This window comes from Homo sapiens, chromosome 2 (assembly GCF_000001405.40).
Source record: "Homo sapiens chromosome 2, GRCh38.p14 Primary Assembly".
NCBI classification, from domain to species: Eukaryota; Metazoa; Chordata; class Mammalia; order Primates; family Hominidae; genus Homo; species Homo sapiens.
In genome coordinates, this window is record NC_000002.12 from 11590156 (window position 1) to 11617459 (window position 27304).

General features: G+C 48.3%; 1 protein-coding gene across 28 annotated transcripts in view, besides 2 other annotated features; it reads left to right on the top strand.

Annotated features, from left to right (window-relative positions):
* The window catches only part of GREB1 (growth regulating estrogen receptor binding 1), a 159901-nt gene that overhangs the window by 107268 nt on the left and 25329 nt on the right, over positions 1-27304 (top strand). For 8 of the 28 annotated variants that reach the window (XM_024453251.2, XM_047446460.1, XM_024453256.2 and 5 more), the window contains exons 11-21: positions 2621-2971; positions 5096-5224; positions 5956-6084; positions 7626-7823; positions 8525-8705; positions 10645-10840; positions 12251-12387; positions 20533-20872; positions 22340-22455; positions 24936-25135; positions 26476-26565. In XM_024453251.2, the coding sequence (XP_024309019.1) occupies positions 2621-2971; positions 5096-5224; positions 5956-6084; positions 7626-7823; positions 8525-8705; positions 10645-10840; positions 12251-12387; positions 20533-20872; positions 22340-22455; positions 24936-25135; positions 26476-26565 (2067 nt within the window). Of the gene's footprint in view, positions 1-1240; positions 1992-2620; positions 2972-5095; positions 5225-5955; positions 6085-7625; positions 7824-8524; positions 8706-10644; positions 10841-12250; positions 12388-13198; positions 13245-20532; positions 20873-22339; positions 22456-24935; positions 25136-26475; positions 26566-27304 lie in introns of those variants that run through there. The other 20 variants (XM_047446474.1, XM_047446475.1, XM_047446473.1 and 17 more) reach the window with 7 other exon arrangements.
* Positions 8455-8659: a silencer, noted in NCBI's record as "fragment chr2:11738736-11738940 (GRCh37/hg19 assembly coordinates)". NCBI's record gives its function as "represses an EF-1alpha promoter that drives an FKBP-Casp9 reporter gene in an ReSE screen in phorbol 12-myristate 13-acetate-treated (for megakaryocytic differentiation) K562 erythroleukemia cells {active_cell/tissue: K562(+PMA)}" and the evidence as "EXISTENCE:reporter gene assay evidence [ECO:0000049][PMID:32094911]".
* Positions 26070-26570: an enhancer, noted in NCBI's record as "H3K4me1 hESC enhancer chr2:11756351-11756851 (GRCh37/hg19 assembly coordinates)". NCBI's record gives its function as "activates a minimal SCP1, AML or CMV promoter by ChIP-STARR-seq in primed H9 embryonic stem cells {active_cell/tissue: H9 hESC(primed)}" and the evidence as "EXISTENCE:reporter gene assay evidence [ECO:0000049][PMID:30033119]".

Below are 27304 nucleotides of genomic sequence, written 5' to 3' on the forward strand. Positions count from 1 at the left end.
TCTGGGAAACCCAGCATTGTCGCTCTTTCTCATAGTCCCCACCTGTCCATCAGTAAGCACGGCTTCATCCTGAATCCAGCCTCGCTCACCCTCTCTGTGGCTGCCGCCTCACCGGGGCACCATTCTTGCCCTGTTCCCCACATCCCTGAGAACTTGGACTCCGATTGCATCTCTTCCCTGCTCAGAGCCCTGCCGCGGCTTCCCATCAGTCGCTCACTCCACCCCTTCCCGGGGGCCCAGCCTGCCTCCTGGTCCCACCTGCTTGCTCTGTCCCAGCCCACTGTCCCCCTCAGCAATCTTGGTCCCACCTGGGCATCCCACACTTGCTGTTCCTTCCCTGTGGCATGCTCTTGCCAAAGACATTTGTGTGGCTTGCTCCCTTATGTCCTTCAGGTTTTGGGTCACTCATCATCTCCTCAGCAAGACCTTCTTGTTACTGTGTGTAAGACAGCTCCCACCCTCCGGGCCCCTATCCTATGCCCTTTATCTTTAGGCACCAGGAATTAGGGTCTGTGATTGTTCCCTTTAAGTGTGTCTCCCCCAGCTAGGGTGTAAGCTCCATGAGGCCAGGCATGGTGAGTGAGTCCTTTTCCCGATGTCCCATAGCATCTGAAGCTGAAGTCAACAGTCTGCCAACCTATATTGAGGGAATAGTTGAGGAATGGGTGAATGTTGATAAGAAGCAGTGAAAAAAAGCATTCCCAAGGAGAGGGGCTGATCCCAAGGAGAGGGGCTGATCAACTGTGCCAGTGTGGCCGGGAGTTGAGTGGAGGGAAGACTGGACCCTGACCATTGGGTTTGGCCATGGGAAGCGGCTGGCAACCTTGATGATGATGTATGTGAAGATTGGAGATAAAAGTCATATTGGAGTGGGTTAGAGAGATTGGAGGTGAAGAGACAGTATGGCCCGTGCAGACAGCTCTGGGTAGGGGTTAGTTCTGGAAGGAGATGTGGACTCAAAGGAAAGTTTTTAAAGATGAGAGAGATAACGGCTAATCTAATTAAATTCTAATTTGATTAGCTAATTCAAGTAGTGAATTCTGATTAAATGCATCCAATCAAAGAGGGAGATATAAGCTAATTTAATCAAATTCTGGCACGGCCCACAGAGCAGGTGTCATGAACCCCGTGTTATGCATCAGGAAACCATGGGAGATAGCTCAGGGCCGCACAGCTGGTGCTGGGTAGAGCTGGGCTGGAACCCACCTTCTAAATGGAAGCCTGACGCACTTTCTTCCAGCACATCAAATACGAAATCCGGACGTATAAACCAGACAATTCATAAAAGAGAAAATACCAGAAGGAAACAAATATTGAAAAGTATTCAGTCTCACTCATCATCAAAGACATGCAAATCACAAATCAAGTCATCTTTTTCTGAATTAATAACCCAAATGATGGTACCCAGTGGTGCTTAGGTGCGGTAAAACCAGCGCTTGTCCGATGCACCGTTCGCGTGGTAAACTGACGCATTCAGGCTCTTGGGAAGCAATCTGATGATATGTAGTAGCTGGTTCTGTAAATCCACCTTTGAGAATTTAGGCGAAGGAAGTAACGTTCTATATGTCAAGATGTGCATTGCAGAGGGATTTATAAAGGTGAATATTTGGAAGAAATAAGAGAATCCACAATAGAGACCTTGCTAAGTAAACGGTGGTGCTCACGTATGATGGGACATTATGGACACACTAACAGCACTCTTTATGTTGGCTGAAAATGGCACTGAAACTGATGATAGGGTCATGGTTAAGGAAAGAATGCAAGACCCAAAGTTTATACTGACAATCATTGCAGCTATTTGTAAGGACAGTTTTAATACTAATTCCAGCAATACATGTTTTTATTCCCTGTCCTGGAGTAGGAGAAAGCCTATATTCCCAGGCTGAATGTTCTACACATTTACCACTGTATATGCACATAGGGACAGTGTAACCTGTCTATACCACCGTAGTTCCAGTCCTAACTTTCTGAATTCTGTTTAAAGACCTTCTCTAACAAGCTATGGGAATTTGGCTTCCTACTTTTTTTTTTCTTTTTTTTTTTTTTTTAACAACAGCAGTGTTTTGGGTGATAATTCTGGATTGATACTTATTCCTTTTTCTGGGTTTTGTTGGCTTTTTGAAAAATTGTCTTTCCAACTTATAATTGGTGAGTGGCTTGGTAGCAAAGTAAGATTTTTTTTTTTTTTTTTAAAAAGAGGACAGAAAAATTGAACTGCAGCTTGAGGACATATTCTTTTTTCCTACTTTGTCATTGAAAATTGAGGAATCACGTTTAACTGTTTTAGGTGTGTGTGGCCAAAGAGTGAGCAAGGACTATGTTTCTGGATTGTCAAAGAGGATGCTTAATCTTAAAAATAAAGATAAATGTACAAATCATCTTATAATTAAAAAAAAACTTTCATATGGAAAAAAAGACTGAGAAATACACGTAAATAGCGTGGCTCTGTTAGGACGGTGGTGAGATTGTGGCGGATTTTATGCCCTCCCCTCGTGCTCCAGCCATCTGTGATACGATTTCACAGTAATAACTTAGGTGGGTACTTTCACATCACTGCACCCGTGCGTCCCCGGATGCCGCTGGCATTTGTGGCAGGCCCTCCGCCCGCATTGTGTTGCAGCCGCGGACCAGGTGCCCTTGATGGAGGACCTGGAGCAGATCTTCCTGCGCTCTTGGCGCGAGTCGCACCTGACCGAGATCCGGCAGTACCAGCAGGCGCCGCCGCAGCCCTTCCCGCCCGCGCCCAGCGCCGCGGCACCCGTGACCTCCGCGCAGCTGCCCTGGCTGGCCAGCCTGGCCGCCAGCTCCTGCAACGACAGCGTGCACGTCATCGAGTGTGCTTACTCCCTGGCCGAGGGCCTCTCCGAGATGTTCCGGCTGTTGGTCGAGGGCAAGCTTGCCAAGACCAACTACGTGGTCATCATCTGCGCCTGCCGCAGCGCGGCCATCGACTCCTGCATCGCCGTCACCGGTGAGCTCTGGGCCGCGCGGCTGCGGGAAAGCCCCCTGAACGGTGTTCCCGGTCCCCTCCTTTGGTGGTTCTCTCCCTTTCTGTCTAGGGTGGCCCGGGTTTGCAGCAGCAGTTAGCACCTGCGGTTTGTGCTCAGTAGCTGGCTTCAGAAGGCAGCCTTGACTAGTGACTTAGTTACAATCTCATCCCTGCTCTGAGTGGCTGGTGAGGTTAGCCCTGGGGTCAGCTTGGGAATGTGGAAAGACCCTGTTGAAAACCTGGCTCCACCACGTGGGTGGTCACTCACACCAGGATGGCCCTGTTTCTTCACTGATCTATTGGAGATAAGAAACAATGCCCTTGTTGTGTTGTCTGTGTTCAGGAGCCAATTAATTTTTTGAGACAAGGTCTCACTCTGTTGCCCAGGCTGGAGTGCAGTGGCCTGATCTTGGCTCATTATAACCTCTACCTCCTAGGTTCAAGAGATTCTCCCACCTCAGCCTCCCAAGTAGCTGGGACACGCCCAGCTAATTTGTATTTTTTGATAGAGATGGGGTTTCACCATGTCACCCAGGCTGGTCTCAAACTCCTGAGCTCAAGTGATCCACCTGCCTAGGCCTCCCAAAGTGCTGGGATTACAGGAGTGAGCCACCGTGCCCGGCCAATTGATTTAATTTTAAAAACACCCATTGAGGCCCCACATGTACAGCCACTGTTCTAGAGGCTGGGGGCCCACAGGGAGCAGAGCAGTCTCTACTTGCCTGGAGTGTTCTTTTAGGTGGGGGAGGCAGACACCAAACACGTGAGCTTTCCTGGCCTGCTTAAATCTTCACAAGTGTTGTGCATTTTCAGCCAGAATTTTTTGTACCTTGTAAAATTTACTTTAAAAGTGCAGAATTTAATGCACTTTTTTTTTGAGACAGGGTCTTGCTTTGTCACCTCGGCTGAAGTGCAGTGGCGAGATCTTGGCTCATTGCAGTATCGAGCTCCCGGGCTCAAGTGATTCTGTTGCCTCAGCCTCCATCCGGAGTAGCTGGAACTACTACAGGTGTGCACCACCACACCCAGCTCAGTTTTGTACTTTGGTAGAGACAGGGTTTTGCAATGTTGCCCAGGCTGGTCTCAAACTCTTGGGCTCAAGCAGTCCACCCGCCTCAGTCTCCCAAAGTGCTGGGATTACAGGCATGAGCCACTGTGCCTGGCATTTAATGTACTTTTTAAGTATAGTGTCTGAATTGTCTTTTAGCATTTTTTTTCTTTTTTTTTTGAGATGGAGTCTTGCTCTGTTGCCCAGGCTGGAATGCAGTGGTGCAGTCTCAGCTCACTGCAACCTCCGTCTCCCAAGTTCAAGCAATTCTTTTGCCTCAGACTCCTGAGTAGCTGGGACTACAGGCGTGCACCACCATGCCCAGGTAATTTTTGTATTTTTAGTAGAGATGGGGTTTCACCATGTTGGCCAGGCTGGTCTCAAACTCCTGACCTCAGATGATCCACCTACCTCAGCCTCCCACAGTGCTGAGATTACAGGCAAGAGCCACCGTGCCCGACCAGCGTTCTTTAATCTTAAACCCATTCTGTGTTTTTTGTTGTTGTTTGTTTGTTTTTGAGACAGAGTCTCGCTCTGTCGCCCAGGCTGGAGTGTAGTGACACTTTGTAGGCTCACTGCAAGCTCCGCCTCCTGGGTTCACACCATTCTCCTGCCTCAGCCTCCTGAGTGGCTGGGACTACAAGGCACCCGCCACCACACCCGGCTAATTTTTTTGTATTTTTAGTAGAGACGGGGTTTCACCGTGTTAGCCAGGATGGTCTCGATCTCCTGACCTTGTGATCTGCCTGCCTCGGCCTCCCAAAGTGCTGGGATGGCAGGTGTGAGCCACTGTGCCTGGCCTTTTTTTTTTTTTTTAAATAAATTATTTACCTTGATGTGAGTGGGACTTGCAGTAGTAGACCCTGAGCCTCTGCCATGTGTCAGGCACCATTGTCTTGTGTCACCTGACAGCAGGCCTGGGAGGTAGATCCAGCTGTTAGCCACAGATTCCAGATGGGAAATGTCAAGTCTAGAAGGGTTAAGGGACTAGTCTAGGGCTACACAGCCCGTAAGCAGGGAAGATACAATGGGTACTGTGAAATCTGTTTGCTTTCCAGGAAAATACCAAGCCCGGATTCTTTCCGAGAGCCTTCTCACTCCTGCGGAGTACCAGAAGGAAGTCAATTACGAGCTGGTTACGGGGAAGGTAGACTCGCTGGGGGCCTTCTTTAGCACCCTCTGTCCAGGTAGGCTTGTCGTGAGACAGGTGCACATGCGTATGTTAATAGGACAGTAATCAGTGCCGGGGGAGGTCATCTCTGCCTCACCCTGCCTGTGACCTGCTAAGGCTGGCCTCCACTGCAGAGTGCCCCTCATTCTGTGCACTTGCACTTCTGTCCCTTTCTTTTCTTGAGTGACAGCTGCGGGTTCTGGCTGGCCATCTCTTCCTGCTTGAGCTGTAGAGTTCTCCTGAGAGGTGGAGGGCACCTTGTGGGTTCTTCTTCATGGGGTACACAAGGCCCTTGTGCCTGTTCCTCTCCACCTTTCCAGCCTTGGTGGCCTCTCTTCCCTGTCTCCCCTTTTTGCTGGAGAGTTCCGCATCCCTCGTGCTCTGGGCTGTGAGCATCCTTCTCCCTTGTTGGCCTAGCTACCCACCCCTCAAGACTCATCTCATGTCCCCCTAGAAAGCTTCTCAGACCCTTCGTTTTCCAGATGGGCTTGGGACCTTCCCCTTCATCCTTTACCATGTTGTTCTTCCTTCTGCCCTAGCACCTGCTATGTCTGTGTGGGGGGAGCTCACTCTGGCAGTGTGTCTTCATCCTGACTAGGCTGAGACCCCTTGACAGGACGGGCCATGTCCTCCTCTTTACCTTCATGACTCCAGGCCTCGGGACAGTACCTGACACTAACTGCGCTGTAGATGTTTGCTGAATTTCACTGACATCAAAAACCCATTTGTTTATTCTGTCTTGGGCAGAGGGTGACATTGACATTTTGCTGGACAAATTTCACCAGGAAAATCAAGGCCATATTTCTTCCTCACTCGCTGCCTCTTCTGTCACTAAAGCAGCATCCCTGGATGTCAGTGGGACACCGGTGTGCACAAGTGAGTGGTGAAAAGGAATCTCCCAGGGTGGAGAGGGTACAAAGTAGTGATGAGGGGCAGGGTCAGTGGGCGCAGGTGTGCACAGTGAGAGGGGCCATGGCGCAAGTGTGCACAGTGAGGGGGCAGGGGCACAGATGTGTATAGTGAGGGGGGACGGGGCACAGGTGTGTACAGTGAGAGGTGGCAGGGACGCAGGTGTGCACAGTGAGGGGGGTGGGGGCACAGGTATGCACAGTGAGGGGGTGGGGCACAGGTGTGCACAGTGAGGGGGTGGGGGCACAGGTGTGCACAGTGAGGGGGTGGGGGCACAGGTGTGCACAGTGAGAAGGGGTGGGGGCACCAGTGTGTACAGTGACGGGGGTGGGGCACTGGTGTGTACAGTAAGAGGGGGCGGGGCTGCAGGTGTATACAGTGAGAGTAGGTGGGGGCACAGGTGTGTACAGTGAGGGGGTGGGGCACAGGTGTGTACAGTGAGAGAGGGTAGGGCACTGGTTTGTACAGTGAGAGGGGGTGGGGGCGCAGGTGTACACAGTGAGGGGGGTGGGGCACTGGTGTGTAAAGTGACAGGGGGCAGGATTGCAGGTGTGTACAGTGAAAGGGGGCAGGGTCACTGGTGTGTACAGTGAGAGGGGTGGGGGCACCGGTGTGTACAGTGAGAGTGGTGGGGGCACCAGTGTGTACAGTGAGAGGGGGCGGGGGCGCAGGTGTGCACCGTGAGAGTGGGCAGGGGCACAGATATGCTCAGTGACATGGGGCAGTGGGCATAGCTGTGTGCAGTGAGAGGCGCCAATGGGCACAGGTGTGCACCGTGAGAGAGGGCAGTGGGCACAGGTGTGCTAAGTGGGTGCTGAGGGGACAGAGGGCTCATGTGTGCTCGGTGGGCGATGAGAGGGCACTGGCGAGGGCCTCGGTCTGGCCTGGGAGGCAGCATCCAAGGACTCAGATTGGAGGTAGCAATGTCAGAGGCACATCCACAAGACAGGACATCTTTTAGTGTCACAGTAGACCTGATACCTAATTTAAAATTCAGTCTTTAATTATGACAATCTCATTTAATCTTGAATTGCACATCCATCACTGTCTCTGAGGTGATAGATTTTTCTATGCCAATTTCCTGCCTCTGAGTCTGTTGCTGATGTTTTTTATTCATACAGAGTTCCTAAATGACTGTCGTGTTAGTTTTCTTTTCTGGAGAGTTTGCAGTCCTCTTCCAGAGTCCAGTCTCAGCATCACCTCCCCTGGGATAGGCTCCTTGTCCCCTCTAAGCAGAAGAGACCACTGCCTCCACTGTGCTCCCCAAGTGCTTGGTTCTTATTTTTATTATTAAGTGAAAGATGGTGCATAAAATGATTGCTACCCCCACACCCGCCACTGCTTAGCTGAGAGCAGGGACTTGATAAACGTGAGTTATTCCCCTTTCCCTCATCGCTTTGTGAATGGGGCCGTCTCCCCTGGACAGGTCTCACTGATTCTCTGGCCAAGGGCCTGGCAGTAGCCGTGTGCCCTGGAGCTCACCTGGCATCCTGGGGCTCTGGTTCCAGGTTACAATCTGGAGCCACACAGCATCCGGCCCTTCCAGCTGGCAGTAGCGCAGAAGCTCCTCTCCCATGTGTGTTCCATTGCGGATTCCAGCACCCAAAATCTGGACCTGGGATCCTTTGAGAAGGTGGACTTTCTCATTTGCATTCCCCCCTCAGAAGTGACCTACCAGCAGACTCTGCTCCATGTGTGGCATTCAGGTATGGGGCATTTTGGGGAGAAGTCACGTGTGGAGAAGCTTTGATCTGCCGAAATCCATGTGTGGGTGTTGACACTGTTCTTTGCTATAGAGTGAATAGGGCAAGTATTGCTGCTCTTGTTTTATAGATTGTGAAACTGATGTTCAGAGACAGTGACTTGCCCAAGATTTTAGGATCTGTTGAAGGTAGAGCCAAAACTTGAACTTTCACCATGTCCCACTCAGGCTAGTGACCTAACCACATGTTGCTATCTAGCGTCACTGATATCCTTGTACTTTCAAGGATATCATATTTAACCACAGAGTACACAGATGTCCGGTGTCTTCACTGAAAGGACTCACTCTTTAGTGGTGTCATGTATCGCCCTGTGGCATTCAGACTGAGAGAGGGATTTTGCTGCTGGCAGGACCTTTCGGTTCCCTCTGTCTTACCATGCTTGGGATCAGCTGCTTCATGAAGCTGGTGCCCCTCGGGAGGGCTGCTGTACACACAGCCAAGGCTTGCCTGCGCCCCAGCTCCTGTGCAGGACAGTTATGCAGCTGTAACCTGTGTGGGAGTTTTTTCCCTTCCTTTCCCTGCTCTTGCATCTCTGAGTCTAGCTCAGGACCTGCTGTGTAGGAGTCGCTCCTCAGGTGTCTGTTGAGTGAATGAAACCCAGTGCGCATGTTTGCAGTTACTGATGTATGTTCTTTGTGTTGCAGGGGTTTTGCTGGAGCTTGGTCTGAAGAAAGAGCACATGACGAAGCAGAGGGTGGAACAGTATGTTCTGAAGCTAGACACGGAGGCACAGACAAAATTTAAGGCTTTTCTGCAAAACTCCTTCCAGAACCCGCATACACTTTTTGTCCTAATCCATGACCATGCGCACTGGGATCTTGTGAGGTTAGATTGACTTGATATATGACAAGTTGACATTTTCCTTCTTTGAAGTGATGTATGTGGATGTTCCCGGGGGCTGAGGGTACAAATCCTGAAAAGATGGATGATGTTTGGGCTTGGTGTTTCTAAGCAGATGCCATGGAGGTTTCCCACAATCTTGAGCTGGAAGTTATCTCAGGGATTATCCAGTGTGACCTCTGAAATTTACCATGGTGGAATTTAAGGGCTGGAGAAGGGAAGCGTGTCTCCCAGAGTCACAGGGTGGGGTGGAGTGGGAGGGTGTTAGTGGCAGAGCTGAGACCCCGAATCACAGCCTGATGCCTGATGTGTTTCTTTCATAGTCCACTCAGCAACAAGGAGCCATGCTGGTGTGGGGTGCGGAGGGTCCTAGCAGGAGTAGCTCAGCTTAGCCCTTCCCTGAAAGAGGCTCCGTGGGGGCTCTGGTACCGTGGGTCACCACTGATGCCTGCCCTTCTTTTTTTTTTTTTTTTCCTTTTTTTGAGACGGAGTCTCACTCTGTCGCCCAGGCTGGAGTGCAGTGGTGCGATCTCGGCTCACTGCAGGCTCAGCCTCCTGGGTTCATGCCATTCTCCCACTTCACCCTCCTGAATAGCTGGGACTACAGGCACCTGTCTCCACGCCCAGCTAATTTCGTTTTTGTATTTTTTTTTTTTTTTTTTGAGACAGAGTCTCTCTCTGTCGCCCAGGCTTGGAGTGCAGTGGCACGATCTCCGCTCACTGCAAACTCTGCCTCCCGGGTTCACACCATTCTCCTGCCTCAGCCTCCTGAGTAGCTGGGACTACAGGCGCCTGCCACCACACCTGGCTAATTTTTTGTATTTTTAGTAGAGACAGGGTTTCACCGTGTTAGCCAGGATGGTCTCGATCTCCTGACCTCGTGATCCGCCCGCCTCGGCCTCCCAAAGTGCTGGGATTACAGGCGTGAGCCACCGCACCCGGCTGATGCCTGCCCTTCTTAAGGGGTGATTTGACTCACTCAGTTAAAATGAACATAAACCCAGATGAATTTCAGATGGGCCAAGCCAAGCGCCTGGCAGGATTTCTGGTGGTTTACCGGGATTGGTCATCTCCGTGAGACTGGCCTAGGGGTTGTACCTTCAGACATTTCCACTGATGTAGATGAGGAAGGAGGGGGCTCCTGGGCCAGGTCGTGGAGAAAGCCTTTGATTGTCGCAGATCCACAGATAGCTAGTTAGGCTGGTCAGGACATGAAGGACCTCGTAAAGGGTTTACAATCCAGAATCCATGTGTGGGCTTGGGGGAAATCGGAACATTCCGAAATTATAGAAAGAGCTGTATTGTGAATATTCATTTTGGGAATAGGTTTCTCAGAGTGGCCTCCTGCCATCCAAAGGGTTAAGCACTGATTTTTTTTTTTAATCCCCTAAACTTACAGGAGAGAATGCAAAGGCCTTTGTCCCACGGAAAAGTGCAGAGCTGGGCCTGTCTCCTAGACCCCTTGTCCAAAATGCTTCCCAATCCTTTCCTGCTGCCTTTTAAACTGACTATAGAATTTACTCTTTTACATCTTTTCTGGATCATTTCAAGGTCAGAAGGACTGTGTAAGGAGATAAGTACACAATCAGATGGGGCCAAAGAGGAACAAATGATTCATGGAACATCCCCAGGGTCATATCACTGTCCGATTGGGATAGAAGGAGTGTGTGTCTTGTAAGAAATCCTCTCTGACTACCGTCCCACGCCAGACACATTTTTCCTAAGTAACGAATCTCAGGAGAGCCCCTGACAGCTACCTGAAGTCCAGCCTTTTTTATTTTCTCTATTCTTAGTCAGGGGCAGAGCCATAATCTTTAGTCGTTGGTAAAGTCAGGGGTTAGTTATAAATTTATTCAACTGCTTCACCTTGCAAAATTAGAAAACAATATAGTAATTCCACTGATTGTGTCTTCTCCTCCCTCAGTAGCACTGTTCATAACCTCTATTCTCAAAGTGACCCGTCGGTGGGATTGGTGGACCGATTGCTCAACTGCAGGGAGGTGAAGGAGGCCCCCAACATTGTGACACTTCACGTGACCTCCTTCCCGTATGCACTGCAGACACAGCACACCCTCATCAGCCCCTACAACGAGATCCACTGGCCTGCCTCCTGCAGTAATGTGAGTGCCACGGGGCTGCTGGGCCCTTGTGTAGCAATATCACTTGGGTTTGCAGAAATTACATTTAGTAACAGCCTTGACCAGTGTGGTTGAGGATAATGGGTTCCAGCTCCTTGGATCTTTGGTTCAACCCAGAGTTAGGTTGTAAACCCTTCTTGGTCTTTTTGGTAACCTTCCTGCAGTACGCCAGTTGGCTTCCTCATCTCGGAAGATGTAATGCAGTTTGTGGGACATTTTCTCTGGTGACTGCCGCTTTCTGAGCAGCATGTGGAATGTTTGTTCTATGGCATTGAATGGAGATATTGAAGGTAGAGCCCTTAGGCGCTGGGGGCTTTGGGCTCCATACAGAGCAACGCTTAATGTCTCCAGAAGCCCTAGGAAGGTTCCTGTTTTCCCTATCCCTGCATCCTTAAGTAGTGAGATTCAGAATCTCCTTCCTCAAACTGAACACATATCCTCAAAACTTGATGAGTTTTTAGCTTATCACCTGACATTTTCTCATCAAAATAGAAGACTAAAACAATCCTGGTAATTTGAGAATTCTGGGTGGTTTGTAGTTAGTTACACAAGAATAAGTAAACGTAAGAGATGAGACTTTTTTGGAGTGCCTCGCAATCCTCTGAGAAACTTTAAAAAATACCTGGCTTCCGTCCTGTGGACTGAGAATCCATGGTGGGGATAGCCATTGTTCATAAGGCACTTCCCATAGGCCAGGGAAGCCCTGCCCAAAGTGCTTCGTGCTGTGAGCTCATGCAAGAGGCAGGTGCTAGGATGAGTTCTCATCTACAAATGGGGAACATGAGACAAAGTGGCCAACAAGAGTTGGGCCACTTGGCTCAGGCCAGGCAGCTAGAAAGTCGTGGAGCTAGGATATGACCCAGGCCACTGGCTCCATGGCTCGGCCCTTAACCACTGTGCTATTTAGGAGTAGAGTTTTCATGCCTTAATATTTTCAACAAACTCCCCCAACTTTGGAATTTTATGTCTGTGTGAGTAAAATTGGCTAGGTAAATGTTTTCTTTGTCTATTGATTTTTAGTAGCAACTGAATGCAAAATAATTGATTTGCCCATTCCTAAAACCAGCTTAAGATTGTAGAAAGAAGCAAATTTAACAAAGAAATGTATATGTTAAAATAAGATAAGGCTGATTTTCTTCTTGGTAAAAACATTGGGACCAAATGAATGGAAAACTCCTGAGCAATGGGGACACACCATTTTTAAAGTATGGGAGGTACTTTGCTCTGCTTCTGCAGATGGAAGAAGTTTATAAAATGCCATCCAAGCCACTGCACAGTGGGCACGATTTGGATGAAGTTGCCAACCCAGGTCATCCGCAGGCCTGGCACACGAACCTCTGACCGTCCCTGCGAATGCAGTGTTGGAGTGACCGACGCTCTTCTTTGTTTTAGGGAGTGGACTTATATCATGAAAATAAGAAGTACTTCGGGCTGTCGGAGTTTATTGAATCCACCCTTTCAGGACACAGCCTCCCCTTGCTCAGATACGATAGCTCCTTTGAGGCCATGGTCACTGCATTAGGAAAAAGGTACTTGTTTCTCTTCTAAGTTACTAGAAGTGCTCAGTAGCTTAAAGGGCAAGTTGAGGTGCGTTTAGCCAGCCAGGGAATTCCAGGAAGGGAGGCCTTTCCTTCCTGAGCAACTCAGTTTCTCCACTAAATGTACCCTGGTTTTTTCCTTCTCCTCTATTTGAATCCCTTTGGGTCAGCGATATCTTTGTCATCCTGTTGCTCTAGAAAATTTTAGAGATGACAATGAGCGGAAATATGCTGGAATGTGGAATTATGTTTTTGAGCCAATGGAGGGTAGGAAAATGGGAGGAAGATAACAAAGCTTTAAAAGAAACTGGAGTGATGATCATAGTCAGCTTTGTTTTTATTTCCGATGCATATCATGTATTGAATGTTTATTTTGTGCCGTTCACTCTTCCATGGACTTTACTTTCATTATCTGATTTGATCCTCACTGCCTCTCTGAGCCACTTGCTACTGTTATTCATACTTTGCAAATGAAGAGGCTGAGGCTTGGAGAGGCCCCATAGCTTTCTCAGGCTACGTGTCTAGCAAGTGACAGAACTGGGTGAGAACCCAGAGTCAATCTGACTGCACAGCCAGCCCCTTTAACCCTGTCGCAACAGACCTCATTTTATAGATGAAATTGAGGCTCAGACAGGCTAAGTGATTGCCAGGGACCACATGGTTTATTCGTGGTAAAGCCAGGCCAAGTTTTATAGACGATCTAATGCAAAGCAAAATGCCACTGAACAAAATACCACTGATTGTCAGCATGAGCTGGTTTCTACCCGCTTTTCTTACTGAACCTCATTCTTCTCATTTGCAGACCAAGGGATGAAGTTAGACATATCCTTCTCAAGCTATGTTCCAAGGTATACTGCTTTGGCTGGATACTAATAGCTATTAAGCATAAAGGGGTTCCATGGTCAAACGTGTCTGAGAAACATTTAAGGAAAGGACTTCTTTTCCATGAGAGTTCTTGGAGCCTTCAGCACATCCATGCATGCTGTAATTCTCCAGAAGGCTAGAGATGTGTCCAGTAGCTCGTGGGACTAGAATTTCCCAGAACACTCTTGCAGAAACTAAATCTCTTAGATACTGTTCGGTTCTGTGATACTGATAGAAATTAATCAGGTCAGTTCTCCAGCACATGGATCGACAGCTGAGCTCTCATCAACTGGCTGCATGAAGTAGCCCTCCAAGATTTCACATTGAGGCAAGAAAACCGGCCTTTGCCCTTCCTCTGCTTCTCCTCAGACAGTGAGCACACATGATGTGTTTAGTATGTTGTAGACACTGGGCTCAGCACTCTATATTTATTACCTAAAATAATCCTCACAGTGACACAGTGAGATAGGAAATACTGTTATCTCCCTTTTTCAGATGAAGAAACTGAGACTTAGAGAAGTTAGGCTACTTGTCCAGAGTCACATGGGGGGTTTATAGTGAAACTGGACCCCAACCCTGCTTGCTTGGCTCCAAAACCACGTAGCCACCAAGCCACATTGACCAAAGTCTCACAGCTAGTAAAGGGTGGGCTGTGACCACCATGCCAATACATCTTGGTTTACCCTCTATCAGTTTTAACCTTGGCAAATCATCTAACCTGTCTAAACTTCTGTACCCTGACCTGTAGAAATCCACCTTGCTGGTGGCTTCTTAGAGTTTCATGAGCTAATGTACGTGTGCACATTCAGTAACAGTTGCATGCTGAGAGCTCAGGCTCCAAAATCATCCTTCCTGGGTTTGAATCCTGAATCTGCCGTTAACCAGCTGTGAGACTTTGAGAAAGTTTCTCGATTTTCTTTGGGGATGATAACACCTACATCATAGAGGTACTATAAGGATTAAATGGATTCATACACCTAAAGCTTTGGAAACAGGGCCTGGCACACATTACATGCTTCTGTTGGCTGCTAGCACCACCACCTCCACCACTATTCACCATCATCATCCTCTCTTCTCTCTCCCCCTCTGCTAAACTAGAAGTGTTGCAGAGATTAAATCTTATGTCTCACTGGGTGAAAAGAGAATTTCAAACCCTGGATTGTTGAAGTATGGAGAATCATAGGAACTTCTAGGAATTATTTGGCCCAACCACCTCATTTTATAATTGTGGGAACTGAAGCCGAGTGGGAGAGTGATTTGCCCGACTTCATGCAGCCTGTTGGTGGCAACATGGACTGCAGACAGGTTTGACATCTTTCCACCATACCGCACTGCCTTTACTAGGAATCATTTGTCTGGAGAACTCTCTTGAAACTGGTAATTTGAACAGAAGGAGATAAAGGTTAGAACATGGGGTTACTGCTTCTTGCCACCATGTGTGTGGTCCGACTGTTAGTCCTCTATGTGCCATAAACGCCAGCATACGGCTGGGAAAACTGCTTGTAGGACTGTCAGTTGGACACAAACCTACTGTGACTTAAAAACAAAAGATCTAGACCTTTGACAACTCCTATTTTTATTCTAATATATTGTCTATGGAACTTTTTTCCTTTAGTACCTACCACAGAGGCTTAAGGGTGGGCATAGTTCTCTGCTGAGCCACAGCTAGGGTACATTTCTGTGCCTGACCTGGGGGTACTGTCTGGAGCTGGGCACCAGAGCCTGCTTCTTTTTTTTTTTTTTTTTTTTTTTTTTTTTTTTACGCAGCAGCTTTAATGGGGAATAACTGACAGCCAGTAGACCGTATATCTTTTTTTTTCTTTTTTTTGAGACAGAGTCTCACTCTGTCGCCCAGGCTGAAGTGCAACGGCGCGATCTCAGCTCACTGCAACCTCTGCCTCCCAGGTTCAAGCAATTCTCCTACCTCAGTCTCCCAAGTAGCTGGAATTACAGGCGCTTGCCACCACGGCCAGCTGATTTTTGTAGTTTTAGTAGAGACGGGGTTTCACCACGTTGGTCAGGCTGGTCTCAAACTCCTGACTTCATGATCTGCCCACCTCAGCTTCCCAAAGTGTTGGGATTACAGGCGTGAGCCACCGTGCCCGGCTGTGCATATTTAAAGTATTCAATTTACATTTTGATCCACGTATAGACTGGTCACCAAAAGGTAATGAAAAACAGTTTTCTCCTGGCCCTTTGTAATTCCTTCCTCCTGTCCTTTTCCCACAGTAGAAATGTAGTTTGCATTTTCTAGAGTTTTATATAAATGGAATTGTACAATAGGTACTCTGTTTTTGGCCTGGCATCTTTCACTCTGTATAATTATATTGAAATTCATCCATGTTGTTTTATGTATCAATAGTTTGTTCCTTTTTACTGCTGGTATTCTAGAATAGAATACTATCGTATGGCCATACTAGTTTGTTTATTTACTGGTTAAGAGGCAGTTAGGTTGTTTTTCGGTTTTGGCTATTACAGATAAAGGTGCTATGAACATTCATGTACAAAGCTTTGTATAGACATATACTTTCCCTTTTCATGGGTAAACACCTAGTTGTGAAATGGCTGGGTTATTTGATAGGTGTATGTTTAACTTTTTCACAAGCTGCCAAATTGTTTTCCAAAGCGTAGCTGTCCCTTGGTATACACGGGGGGTTAACTCCAGAACTGTCCCCGCCATACCAAAATCCATGCATACTCCAGTCCCATGGTCAGCCCTCTGGAACCCACATGTAAGCAAAAGTCAACTTTCCATGTACATGGGTTTCACGTCTAGAAAATACTGTATTTTTGATTTGCATTTGGTTAAAAATCCACATACAAGTGGACCCTTGAAGTTCAAACCTGTGTTATTCAAGGGTCAGCTGTCGTTCATTTTACATTCCCATCAGAATTTCAGTGGCTCCACATCTTTGTCAGCACTTGGTATGGTCAGTATTTTAAATTTTATTCATTCTAATAGGTATGAGGTGGTAGCTCGTAATTTTAATTTTAATTTCTCCAATGACTGATGATGTTGAACATCTTTTCCTATGTTTATCTGCCATTTGTGTATCATCTTTGGTGAAGTGTCTCTTGATAAGTTGACTCCTTTATTATTTTCAAACGACCCAAAGAATATTATTTATAGCTCTATAATCGCTTCTGATATTAATACAGTTATTCTAGTTTTCTTTTGACTAGTGTTACTATAGATTATAATTTTTTATCCTTTTACTTTGAGCATGTTTCTCTTTTTGTGTTTAAACTTCGTTTCTTGTAGGCAGCTTATAGTTGAGTCTTGCTTTTTAATCAAATGTGACAATCTCTGCCTTTTAATTGATTGCTATTTGATTTTAGTTTCATTATTATTATTATTATTATTATTATTATTATTATTATTATTTGAGACGGAGTCTCACTCTGTTGCCAGGCTGGAGTGCAGAGGCATGATCTTGGCTCACTGAAACCTCTGCCTCCCGGGTTCAAGTGATTCTCCTGCCTCAGCCTCCTGAGTAGCTGGGATTACAGGCACGCACCACCACGCCCAGCTAATTTTTGTATTTTTAGTAGAGACAGGGTTTCACCATGTTAGCCAGGATGGTCTCGATCTCCTGACCTCATGATCTGCTTGCCATGGCCTCCCAAAGTGCTGGAATTACAGGCGTGAGCCACCATGCCTTGCCTATTATTATTATTTTTTAGAGAAAAAATATTTTAGGGCCGTTGCCCAGGCTGAAGTGCAGTGGCATGATCATAGTTCGTTGTAACCTCAAACTCCTGGGCTCAAGCCATCCCCCCATCTCAGCTTCCCAAACAGCTGGGACTACAGGTGCATGCCACCATGCCTGGCCAATTTTTAAAAATTTTTCTTGCTATATTGCCAAGGTCTTGAACCCCTTGCCTCAAGTGATTCTCCTGCCTTGGCCTCCCAAAGTGCTGGAACATTTTAGTTTCTATTGCTGTGTTTTCAAGTTTATTAATCTTATTTTCTATGTTATCTAATCTGCTGCCAATTTCATCCAGTATATGTATGTGTGTGTGTGTGTGTGTGTGTGTGTGTGTGTATATATATATACACACACATACATATATATACACATATATATACATATATGTACATACATATATATACACATATATATACATATATGTACATACATATATATACGCATATATACACATATATACATATATACATATATATACATATATACACATATATGCATATATATACATATATATATATTTATCTTAGAAAAGCACAGTTTTATGACAAGATTCCTAAGAGAAAAAAGACAATTTCAGGTGTCACGTGCATTGATGTACATACACATTGATGATACATAGTTACTGTGTTTATTAATCAGGACTCTTTGTTGCAAGTAACAGAAACTCAACTTGAACTCTTTTCAGAAAAAGAGAGAGATGTATTGACTTGTAAAAGAATAGGAAAGGTTGAACAAATAAACCATAGAACAGCAGAGATACCTAACAACTTAAGTATTCAAACACCGCCAAGACTGTGTTGTTTTGTCTTTGGTATCTGTATGATGGTTTTATTGTATCTCACTGCACAGTGTCTTCCTCTGTGCACTGAAAAACATTACCACTGCTTGATGCTGAGCCTCACGGTCTCTAGATTCCAGAGGGGGACTTATTCTTTCTTATTGTTTGAAAAATCCCAAGAGAAGACTGGCTCAGCCTGAGTTGGGTTTCCATACCTGAACCACTCTATTGTGGCTGGCAGGGCAAGGTCACATACAAAGATCATAGCTCCCATGAGAATTCAGGGTCTAGTTTATTTTCTATCTACGACATTGAAGATTTCATCTCTAGAATTTAATTTGTGATTTTTATATCTTCACTCAACAAGTTCAGTCTTTCCTCTAGATTTTTAACCATATAGAATATAGTTACAATAATTGTTTTAATTTTGCTGTCTGCAAATTCTGTCATCTGTGTCATTCCTAGGTCAGTTTCTACTGATCAATTGGTTCCCCCCCTTTATTATGGATCATATTTGCCTGCTTATTTACATGTCTGGTAATTTTTGAGAGAATACCAGACGTTGTTAATTTTACCTTGTTGGGTGCTAGATATATTTGTATGTCTATAAATACTGAGGTGTTTTTGTGATACAACTAAGTTACTTGCACACAGTTTAATCCTTCCAGGTCTTGGTTTTAAACTTTGTTAGTCAGGACCAGAGCAGTATTTAATGTAGCGCTAACTTTGCCCATTACTGAGACAAAATCCTCTGAGTAAGTACTCTACAATGTTTCATGACTCCGAGGTGTTCCATATTGGCTGTGGAAACAGGAACTATTCCCAGCCCTACATGAACTTGAGACATTGTTCCCTTTAATTCGTTTGCAACCAAAGGATTCTTGTTTTGGCTTTGGGTCATTTCCTTACATATGTGCACTGCTCATATCAACTGAAGACTTTAGGGAGACCCTCTGCAGATCTCTCCTCTTTGGTACTTTGCCCTGTGATCTCTAGCTGCCTTGGCTTTCCCGGAATCTGATACCTCTCCTCAACTCAGGGAGACCACCGAGCTTTGGCTGGCTTCCCTCTTCCTGAGTACATCCCAGAAACTGTAGGCAGAAGCTGGGGGACTCACCTAATTTGTCTCACATTGTTAGGATCACTGTCTTTCACTGCCTGATGTCCCATGTATTGAAATGCAGTTGTTTCATTTATGTGTTCAGTTTTTCAGCTGTTTCAGATGGGAGGATAAACCTGATCCCGTTGCTCCATCTTGTCAGAAGCAGAAATCTCTGTCCTTTGAGCAGAGCCCATTTTCCCTACTGCACTTTCTTTCTTTCTTCCTGGGCATTATTATTTTATTTATTTATTTATTTATTTATTTATTTATTTATTTAGAGATGGAGTCTCGCTCTGTGGCCCAGGCTGGAGTGCAGTGGTGATCATGATCTTGGCTTGCCACAACCTCCATCTCCTGAGTTCAAGCGATTCTCCTGCCTCAGCCTCCCAAGTAGCTGGGATTACAGGCGTGTGCCACCATGCCTGACTAACTTTTGTATTTTTAGTAGAGGCAGGGTTTCATCATGTTGGCCAGGGTGGCCTCAAACTCCTGACCTCAGGCAATCCGTTTCCTGGGCATTATTTGACAGGTGCACCAGGGGTAGGTAGAGCAGTCCCTGGGCTGCTGAGTCCCCTTCATGCCAGAGTCTGTGGACCAGTTATACCTTCCTAGACAGCCCTGGTAATGGCAAGCTTGCCAGGCCAGCTTCCAGCTTATGTGACCTGCGTAGTGGATGAAGTGCTGAAGGAAACATGAAGAAAAGGAGGAGGATGGTCAGGAAGAAGGAGCAGGGATGTCATCGCAATGTCAGAAATGCTATCAAGTGCTGTAGGAAGGCGAGCTGGCTGCCCTGATAGAACTCACAGGGTGGCATGGCCACGGTATGGTACTCATTTTTGTAGGTCGAGAAACTACCTTACCTTTGCTACAAAAAGCCAGAGTCAGGAGGACCCATTCCAGCTCAATCAACCCAGAAGAACATTGTGCATAAACTGGATACCAATTTATTTATTCACGTTGAGAAACACCATCATCTACAGGGACCTGGGCTTTTCCATTGGTGCCCTGGGGTCTGTGTGACTAACGGGTCAGAGCCACTCTAGGAGAGCAGGTGGTTGTGGGAGCAGCCACCACCTTTGTGTGGGGACACAGATAGTAACCACAGTTTCTGAAGCAAAAACTGGGATTCTTGATTTGGCTGGATATGTTCTGATTTGTAATTAGTCTGTCAAAATACGTTTAGTTATATTTCTAATAATTCACTGTGATCGAAGTGAACACAGAGATGGGCCTTTAGAACTCGGGCCTCCGGTAGCTGCATTTCCATATTGATTGCTGGTGGTTCTCCTGTTTCTAGTAGGAACCAGAGGCAACTTAGTCCCCTCCTCAGAGAGCTGCACATTGTGCTGATAGAGACAAAATAGGCATTTATACCATTTATTCATCTGCTCATTCATTGGACAAATATTTATTGAGCAGCTACTAAGTGCCAAATGCTGGAAAAACGTAATAACAACAAACCTATGTTTTTGTTTTCCAGCTGGAAAAAACAAAGGACTGTATAATTTGATTTCTAAAGAAGGCTTCTCATTCAGGTTCCCACAACCACCTTCCAGAGGCAACACAACTGCGTATAATGCCGGAGTTGCCTGTGGTAGAGTGACGGATGTCTTGGGTGACTTGGCAGCAGCAGGCCGGTGGGCGCGGCCGTCACAGACATGGTCTCTCTGTGTTCCTTGCAGGTTCCCCCGCCTGCACAGCGCGGTGATCAGGACCTTTGTTCTCGTGCAGCACTACGCGGCCGCCCTGATGGCCGTAAGCGGCCTCCCGCAGATGAAGAACTACACGTCGGTGGAGACGCTGGAGATCACGCAGAACCTCCTCAACTCCCCGAAGCAGTGCCCCTGCGGCCACGGGCTCATGGTCCTGCTGCGGGTGCCCTGTTCGCCCCTGGCGGTGGTGGCCTATGAGCGGCTGGCCCACGTGCGGGCCCGGCTGGCGCTGGAGGAGCACTTTGAGATCATCCTGGGCAGTCCCAGCTCAGGCGTCACCGTGGGGAAGCACTTCGTAAAGCAGCTCAGGGTAGGTGCTGTGCGCAGGGAGGGGCGGAGGGCCTGGGGGTACCTGGGAGAGCTGAGGGGCCCACCAGAGGCAGGGAGTGTCACGAACCCCACAGCGTGGCCAACGTGGCTTCCCTAGACCCAGCCACCCCTCAGCCTCCTCTCTGTGCTTCCCCACCTCTGCCCTCCGCCCCAGCAGCACCCCCACACCCCTGCAGCATTGCCTTATGACTTTAGACCTCTGGGCAACAGCCTGCTTTCTTTTTTCCTGGGCATCCATTTCCTCTCTTCTTTGTTTAGCTGATGCTTCTTTATTTTCCCCTTTGAGACAGGGTCTCACTCTGTGGCCCAGGCTGGAGTGCGGTGGCGTGATCACAGCTCACTGCAGCCTTGAGCTCCTGGGCTCCAGGGATCCTCCCACCTCAGGCTCCTGAGTAGCTGGAACCACCAGCGTGTGCCACCACACTCGGCTAATTTTTAAAATTTTTAAAATTTTCTCCATGTTGCCCCGGCTGATCTCAAACTCCTGAGTTCAAGCAACCCTCCTGCCTCAGCCTCCCAAAGTGCTGGGTTCCAGGTGTGAGCTGCCCTGCTTATTTTCTGCAGCACTTAGGTTGGTGTCTTTCCTCTTTCAGGAAGCCACCCTCCCCCTCTGCCATGCCCAGGGCAGTGCCATGCTCCCTGCCTGTCATCTAGCCCCTCTCCCAGATGGTGGGGGGCAATGGCCATCCCCACAGAACTCAGCCCCCAAAGCCTAGCACAGCGCCTGGCCCATAGTAGGTTCTCACTCAATCTGCAGGTGACAGAAAATGCAAAAGGTTTAGGGAAAGAACAAATGAGTGGAAAACAGGAATGAAAGGGAGGACACTGTCAGGAGAGAGCACAGGCAAGACATAAGGAACAGCTGGTTGGGCGCGGTGGCTTACACCTGTAATCCCAGCACTTTAGGAGGCCGAGGCGGGCGGATCACTTGAGGTCAGGAGTTCGAGATAAGCCTGGCCAGCATGGAGAAACCCTGTCTCTACTAAAAATACAACAATTAGCCAGATGGGGTGGCGTGCGCCTGTAGTCCCAGCTACTCGGGAGGCTGAGGCAGGAGAATCACTTGAACCCTGGTGGTGGAGGTTGCAGTGAGCTGAGATTGCGCCACTGCACTCCAGCCTGGGTGACTCAGCGAGACTCTGTCTCAAAAAAAAAAAAAAAAGACTTAAGGAGCAGCTGACAACATAGACTTCCTTTCACGGAGCTGGTCAGCTGATAGAGATGTCTTGGACATGCTCTGGCTGGCTAATCTCCATGTTCTAGCCGACTGAAAATACGGTGGCCAAGTGGATGGTGTGCTTATTTGCAGTCTAAAGAAATTTCCTTTTGGTCAGAAGATATAGTTCAAGGAGTTTAAATTGGTGTGGGAGGCCATCAGGATTCCTCTGAGCTGGGCTGGTTGGGAAGGGAGGCGTCTGTGGCTTTATTTCTTTTTCGTTATCTGCAGATGTGGCAGAAAATTGAGGATGTGGAGTGGAGACCCCAGACTTACTTGGAGCTGGAGGGTCTGCCTTGCATCCTGATCTTCAGTGGGATGGACCCGCATGGGGAGTCCTTGCCGAGGTGAGTGGAGGGGTTATGCCCCTGGGGGTCTCTGAGGAGCTGGCTGCCTGGGCCCCCTCAAGGAGCATGTCAGGGGGGCTGCTGTGCCCTGACGGTAGGCAGCACCACTCACATTCACAGGCCCCGTGGGTGGGGCCTTCATCGTGGCTTTCCCAGCATGGGCCTGAGTGCGTCTGAGGCCCGTGCCCCTTCTCCTGATTCTCAGAAAGGCGCTGTTTGGGCTCGTGGTGACGGCTGTTGCCAGGCTCTACGGGTGGAGGCTCTGCAGGTGGAGTCAGGATTTCATGCCTCCTGAGTTCAGTGTCTCCCCATGGGGCGCTCTGTGTGTGCTGGGGATGGCAGTTCTGCTTGGGACAGTACGGCATCCTCTCCAGGAGTTGCAGCCACAGTTCCTGCTGGTACCTAGGCTGCCGCAATGCCTGGGCCCTCCCGGCTTAGGAGGCGTTCTGGGAGTGGAGGCAACTGACGCTGCTCGGGAAGAGCTGGTTCTTCCAGCACAGAGTGGACTGTCTCAAAAGATGTGTCCCTCTGAATCCATCACAGCCTGGAAAGTCTTAGCCACATATCCACTCGATGTCCGCTGGTGTGGGGGGTCTCTAGGCCACCACACAGACATGCGGACACTCGAGACTCAGGTCCCTGGGCCTCCTGTAAGGCAGTTTCTTGGATTGGTAGTGACAGATTGGGTTTTAGAGACTTCATACCGGTGGAGAAGAGCAGACGGCCAGCAAAAGATAGCAAAAGCCGACATCAGTGGAATTCCTGTTATGTTCTGGGAACTGTCCTAGATTCTTCTTTTAGGTTTTATTTCATTTTACTCTCACCTTAATCCTGGGGGAAAGGTGCTATTTCAGTAGTCCCATTTTACGGATGAAGAAACTGAGGCTTACTGAGATTAAGCCAGTCTGGCCAGCAGTGGGCCTGGCTTCTTCCCCCAGGAGCACCCCACACTTCAGCAAACGGCCCTGTGCATGCTGCATACTCATGGGCCAGGGGAAGGGGGCTCCAGAACATTTGACCTTGCTTGTTGCTATTTCACATGGATTAATTCTTTTCTTCTTCAACTCCTTAAGGACTGAGACAATGTCTTAATCTATTTTAAATTTTAGCAAGCATTTGCTGAATACCAGGTACCTTCTGGTACCTTCTTTGTACCAGGCATCATGATAGACTTTTCATATGAAACTTACTCCTTGCTGCAGTAGTATTACCATCCTGTTTCATGGTTGAGTCAATGAACGATCATTTGCTTGAGGTCATGAGCAGTAAGTTTCAGAGCCCCACTGGAACCCTCACGTACCCCTCTCTAAGCCCTTTGCCTTGGTTGTGTTTCTGCTGCGCAAGTCTGAGCACGGGGTTGGCCTTTCCTCTGCTGCTCACAGATAGCATTGCTTGTTGGTGTCCGACTTGATTGCCATCATATTTCTAGCATCTAGTACCCTGGCCTGTGTTCACTTGGATTGAATAATTAAATGCTCACTGATTACATTTAATCTTTATCACAGCGGACTTAGATTTTTTTTTTTTTTTTTTTGAGACGGAGTCTCACTCTGTTGCCCAGGCTGGAGTGCAGTGGTGCAATCTCAACTCACTGCAGACTCCGCCTCCTGGGTTCAAGTGATTCTCCTGCCTCAGCCTCCCGAGGAGCTGGGATTATAGGCACCTGCCTCCACACCCGGCTAATTTTTGTATTTTTAGTAGAGATGGGGTTTTGCCATGTTGGTTAGGCTGGTCTTGAACTCCTGACCTCAAGTGATCGGCCCGCCTTCGCCTCTCAAAGTGCTGGGATTACAGGTGTGAGCCACCACGCCCAGCCAGATGGTTATTAATATTCATTCCCATCTTTCAGATGAAAAAATCAGAGCCTCAGAGAAGTTGTGCAGCTTGTCACGGCTTCTGTCGCTAGGAAGTAGCAGAGCTCAGGTTCAAGCCCCCCCTTTTTGTTGTTGTTGTTGTTGTTTGTTTTGTTTTGAGATGGAGTCTGGCTCTGTCGCCCCGGCTGGATTGCAGTGACACAATCTCGGCTCACGGCAAGCTCTGCCTCCCGGGTTCACTCCATTCTCCTGCCTCAGCCTCCCGAGTAGCTGGGACTACAGGCGCCCGCCACCACGCCTGGCTCATTTTTTGTATTTTTAGTAGAGACGGGGTTTCACCGTGTTAGCCAGGATGGTCTCGATCTCCTGACCTTGTGATCCGCCCGCCTCGGCCTCCCAAAGTGCTGCAAGCCCCTTTTTTATCTGACCCAAAAGTTAGTGCAGCACAGAGCTAAATGCATAGTGGGTGTCCCCAAAGATTTACTATTATACTGAATTTGTTGCTGCAAGCTCCCAGTAACACTGTTGGCTTTTCCACTTGTACGAGTCCTTGGGTCCTCACCAGGAAGGTGGGGTGTGGTCCCGATCAGTGCTGCCTGCCGCAGTGGGAACAGCACTCCACTTGTGGAAGGCACTAAACAGACACCTTCTTCTGTGTCTTGCTAGGTCTTTGAGGTACTGTGACCTGCGATTGATAAACTCCTCCTGCTTGGTGAGAACAGCCTTGGAGCAGGAGCTGGGCCTGGCTGCCTACTTTGTGAGCAACGAGGTTCCCTTGGAGAAGGGGGCTAGGAACGAGGCCTTGGAGAGTGATGCTGAGAAGCTGAGCAGCACAGACAACGAGGATGAGGAGCTGGGGACAGAAGGTGAGGGATGGCTGCCCTCAGCCTACTTGTCCCTGTCTGCATGTCTTTCTTGGCTTCTGAGCTTTGAGGCTGCCTGTGCTTATGGAGACAGCTGTCTCCAGTTCAGCAGGGTCCTGGGACCTGTCTGCTGGACAGCGGCTCTGGATGAGAGGTCTCCAGTGTTGGATGAAATGGCAGAGCTCTCACTGAATTCAGATTTTGTTTGTTTTCTCCCCATCTCTTTTGGTGGTGTGAGAAAATGGAAATCCCTATAGGTTTTTCCTAGTTCTAGAATTCTTAAAGAATAGGAAGAAAAATTAAGATTTCTTAGAGTTCAAGTTCAAAATTTCTTAGAGTTCCTCGTTCCACTCACTGGTGGAATTCCCACCTAGTGTGATTTGCTTGTTTATTTCCTCTGTGAATCAACCCAACAGCGTGCTGTCCATTTTTAAGAAGTGTGAAAACAGGCTCATTTGCAGACTCTTCAAATCTGATGCCGCCTTTTTAATAGGACACATAAATGATAACATCGCAAGGCATTGACTATAGTCAACAATGTGATGAGAAAGACGTAGACAGTCATTCAAAAACTAGAAAGCATTTGTGGAGTGTGTGGAATGGAAGGAGGTGGGTGTGGGCACCAGCGCGGGTCTGTGGTCTGCCTTGTCTGTCTTGACTGTGGGACCTCTCTTAGCCTCAGCTTGCTCGTCTGTAAAATGTAGATGGAAAGGCCTGCCCGCCTGTAGCCATCTTTTCGAAGCACGGCAGAGACTCTGATTTAATTCTTTCATTTGTGAGTATCTGCTGCACGTCTCCGTGCTCCCTGGCATCTCAGGACCCCCTTCTTTAGTTTCACCATCTGCTTCTCTCTACCCATAGCCCGCATTGCACTGAGCACTGGCCCACGTTAAACTTGCAGTGGCCGGGCTGTGCCCTGCCCTTCTGGCCTCTGCGCTGCACGGCTGCCCTTCCTGCTGCTCAGAGTTTTCCTTTCTCTACTTTACCTGCAAAACCCTGAGGCCCTTCAGGGCGACGGCCAGATGCCCCCCTCTTCCAGGAGATGCCCTGCTTTTCCCCCAGGCTCCCCGACCCCTCTCTCTTTGCATCTCCTCCACCAGCTTGCAGCTGTGCCTCATGGGCAGGAGCCTTCGCTGCACCCAGAGTGCCTCCCTGCACTGCAGCCCACTCCCTCCTGTCTCCTCAGTGCTCTGTCCATGGTGGGGGCCTGGAAGATGGCAGTGAATGAGTAAATGGATGGGGAGAGGTGATGCATGGGAACACACTTTACACACTGTGAAGTGCTGGGCAAATGTCAGGAATGGTGATTTCGGTGCATTCTCAGCGTGTGTGTTTTGGAACAGGCTCTACCTCGGAGAAGAGAAGCCCCATGAAAAGGGAGAGGTCCCGCTCCCACGACTCAGCATCCTCATCCCTCTCCTCCAAGGCTTCCGGTGAGTCTTCCCACACGGGAAGGACCAGACCAGCAGACTGATTTTTGAGGTTTCAGAGAATGAAAAGAAACCTATAGAGGGCTATTTGCTGATCCTTTATTTTCCATCAGAACTGGAAAGATAAGGAAATCTTTGAAGTGCTAGACTCTCTAGAGAGTAAATATTGTGGTCAACTTCGGATCGGAGAACTTGAAGACTGAGCAAGACTGTAGGGTTCTGCTGCCCCTGTGCTCAGGGGAGGACCGTGGACCCTGCCCCTCACTGTGGCTGGGGCCTCAGGCTGAGTCCTGGCCGTGTTAGGGGCGGGTCCCCGGGTGTTCTCCCTGCCGTTGTTGGTTTGGGAAAACCCTGTGCCCTGTGGGGAGAGGAGCTGAGCGCAAGGAGAGAAGTAGACATGGAGACTTCACTGGGGGAAGAGCAACAAAAGGCAACACAAGCTCATGAGCCTTCCGCGTAGCCACAGCCACAGCGGGTGGGCAGTGCCAACCACAGGCTCCACACGGTCTCTGCCCTAAGGGGTTCCTCTGTCTCCGAGAGTAGTCAGGATCCCGCAGAGGAGGGCAGAGCCCCTGGTGAGAAACAGAGGCCCCGGGCAAGTCAGGGGCCACCGTCGGCCATCAGCACGCACAGTCCCTGTCTTTCCGCCAAAAGCATTCTGAGGGCCTACTTGCTATCTGGATCAGCACTGAAGGATAAATGAGATGTAGACCTGACCTCAGGGAACGAACTCATTGTTCTC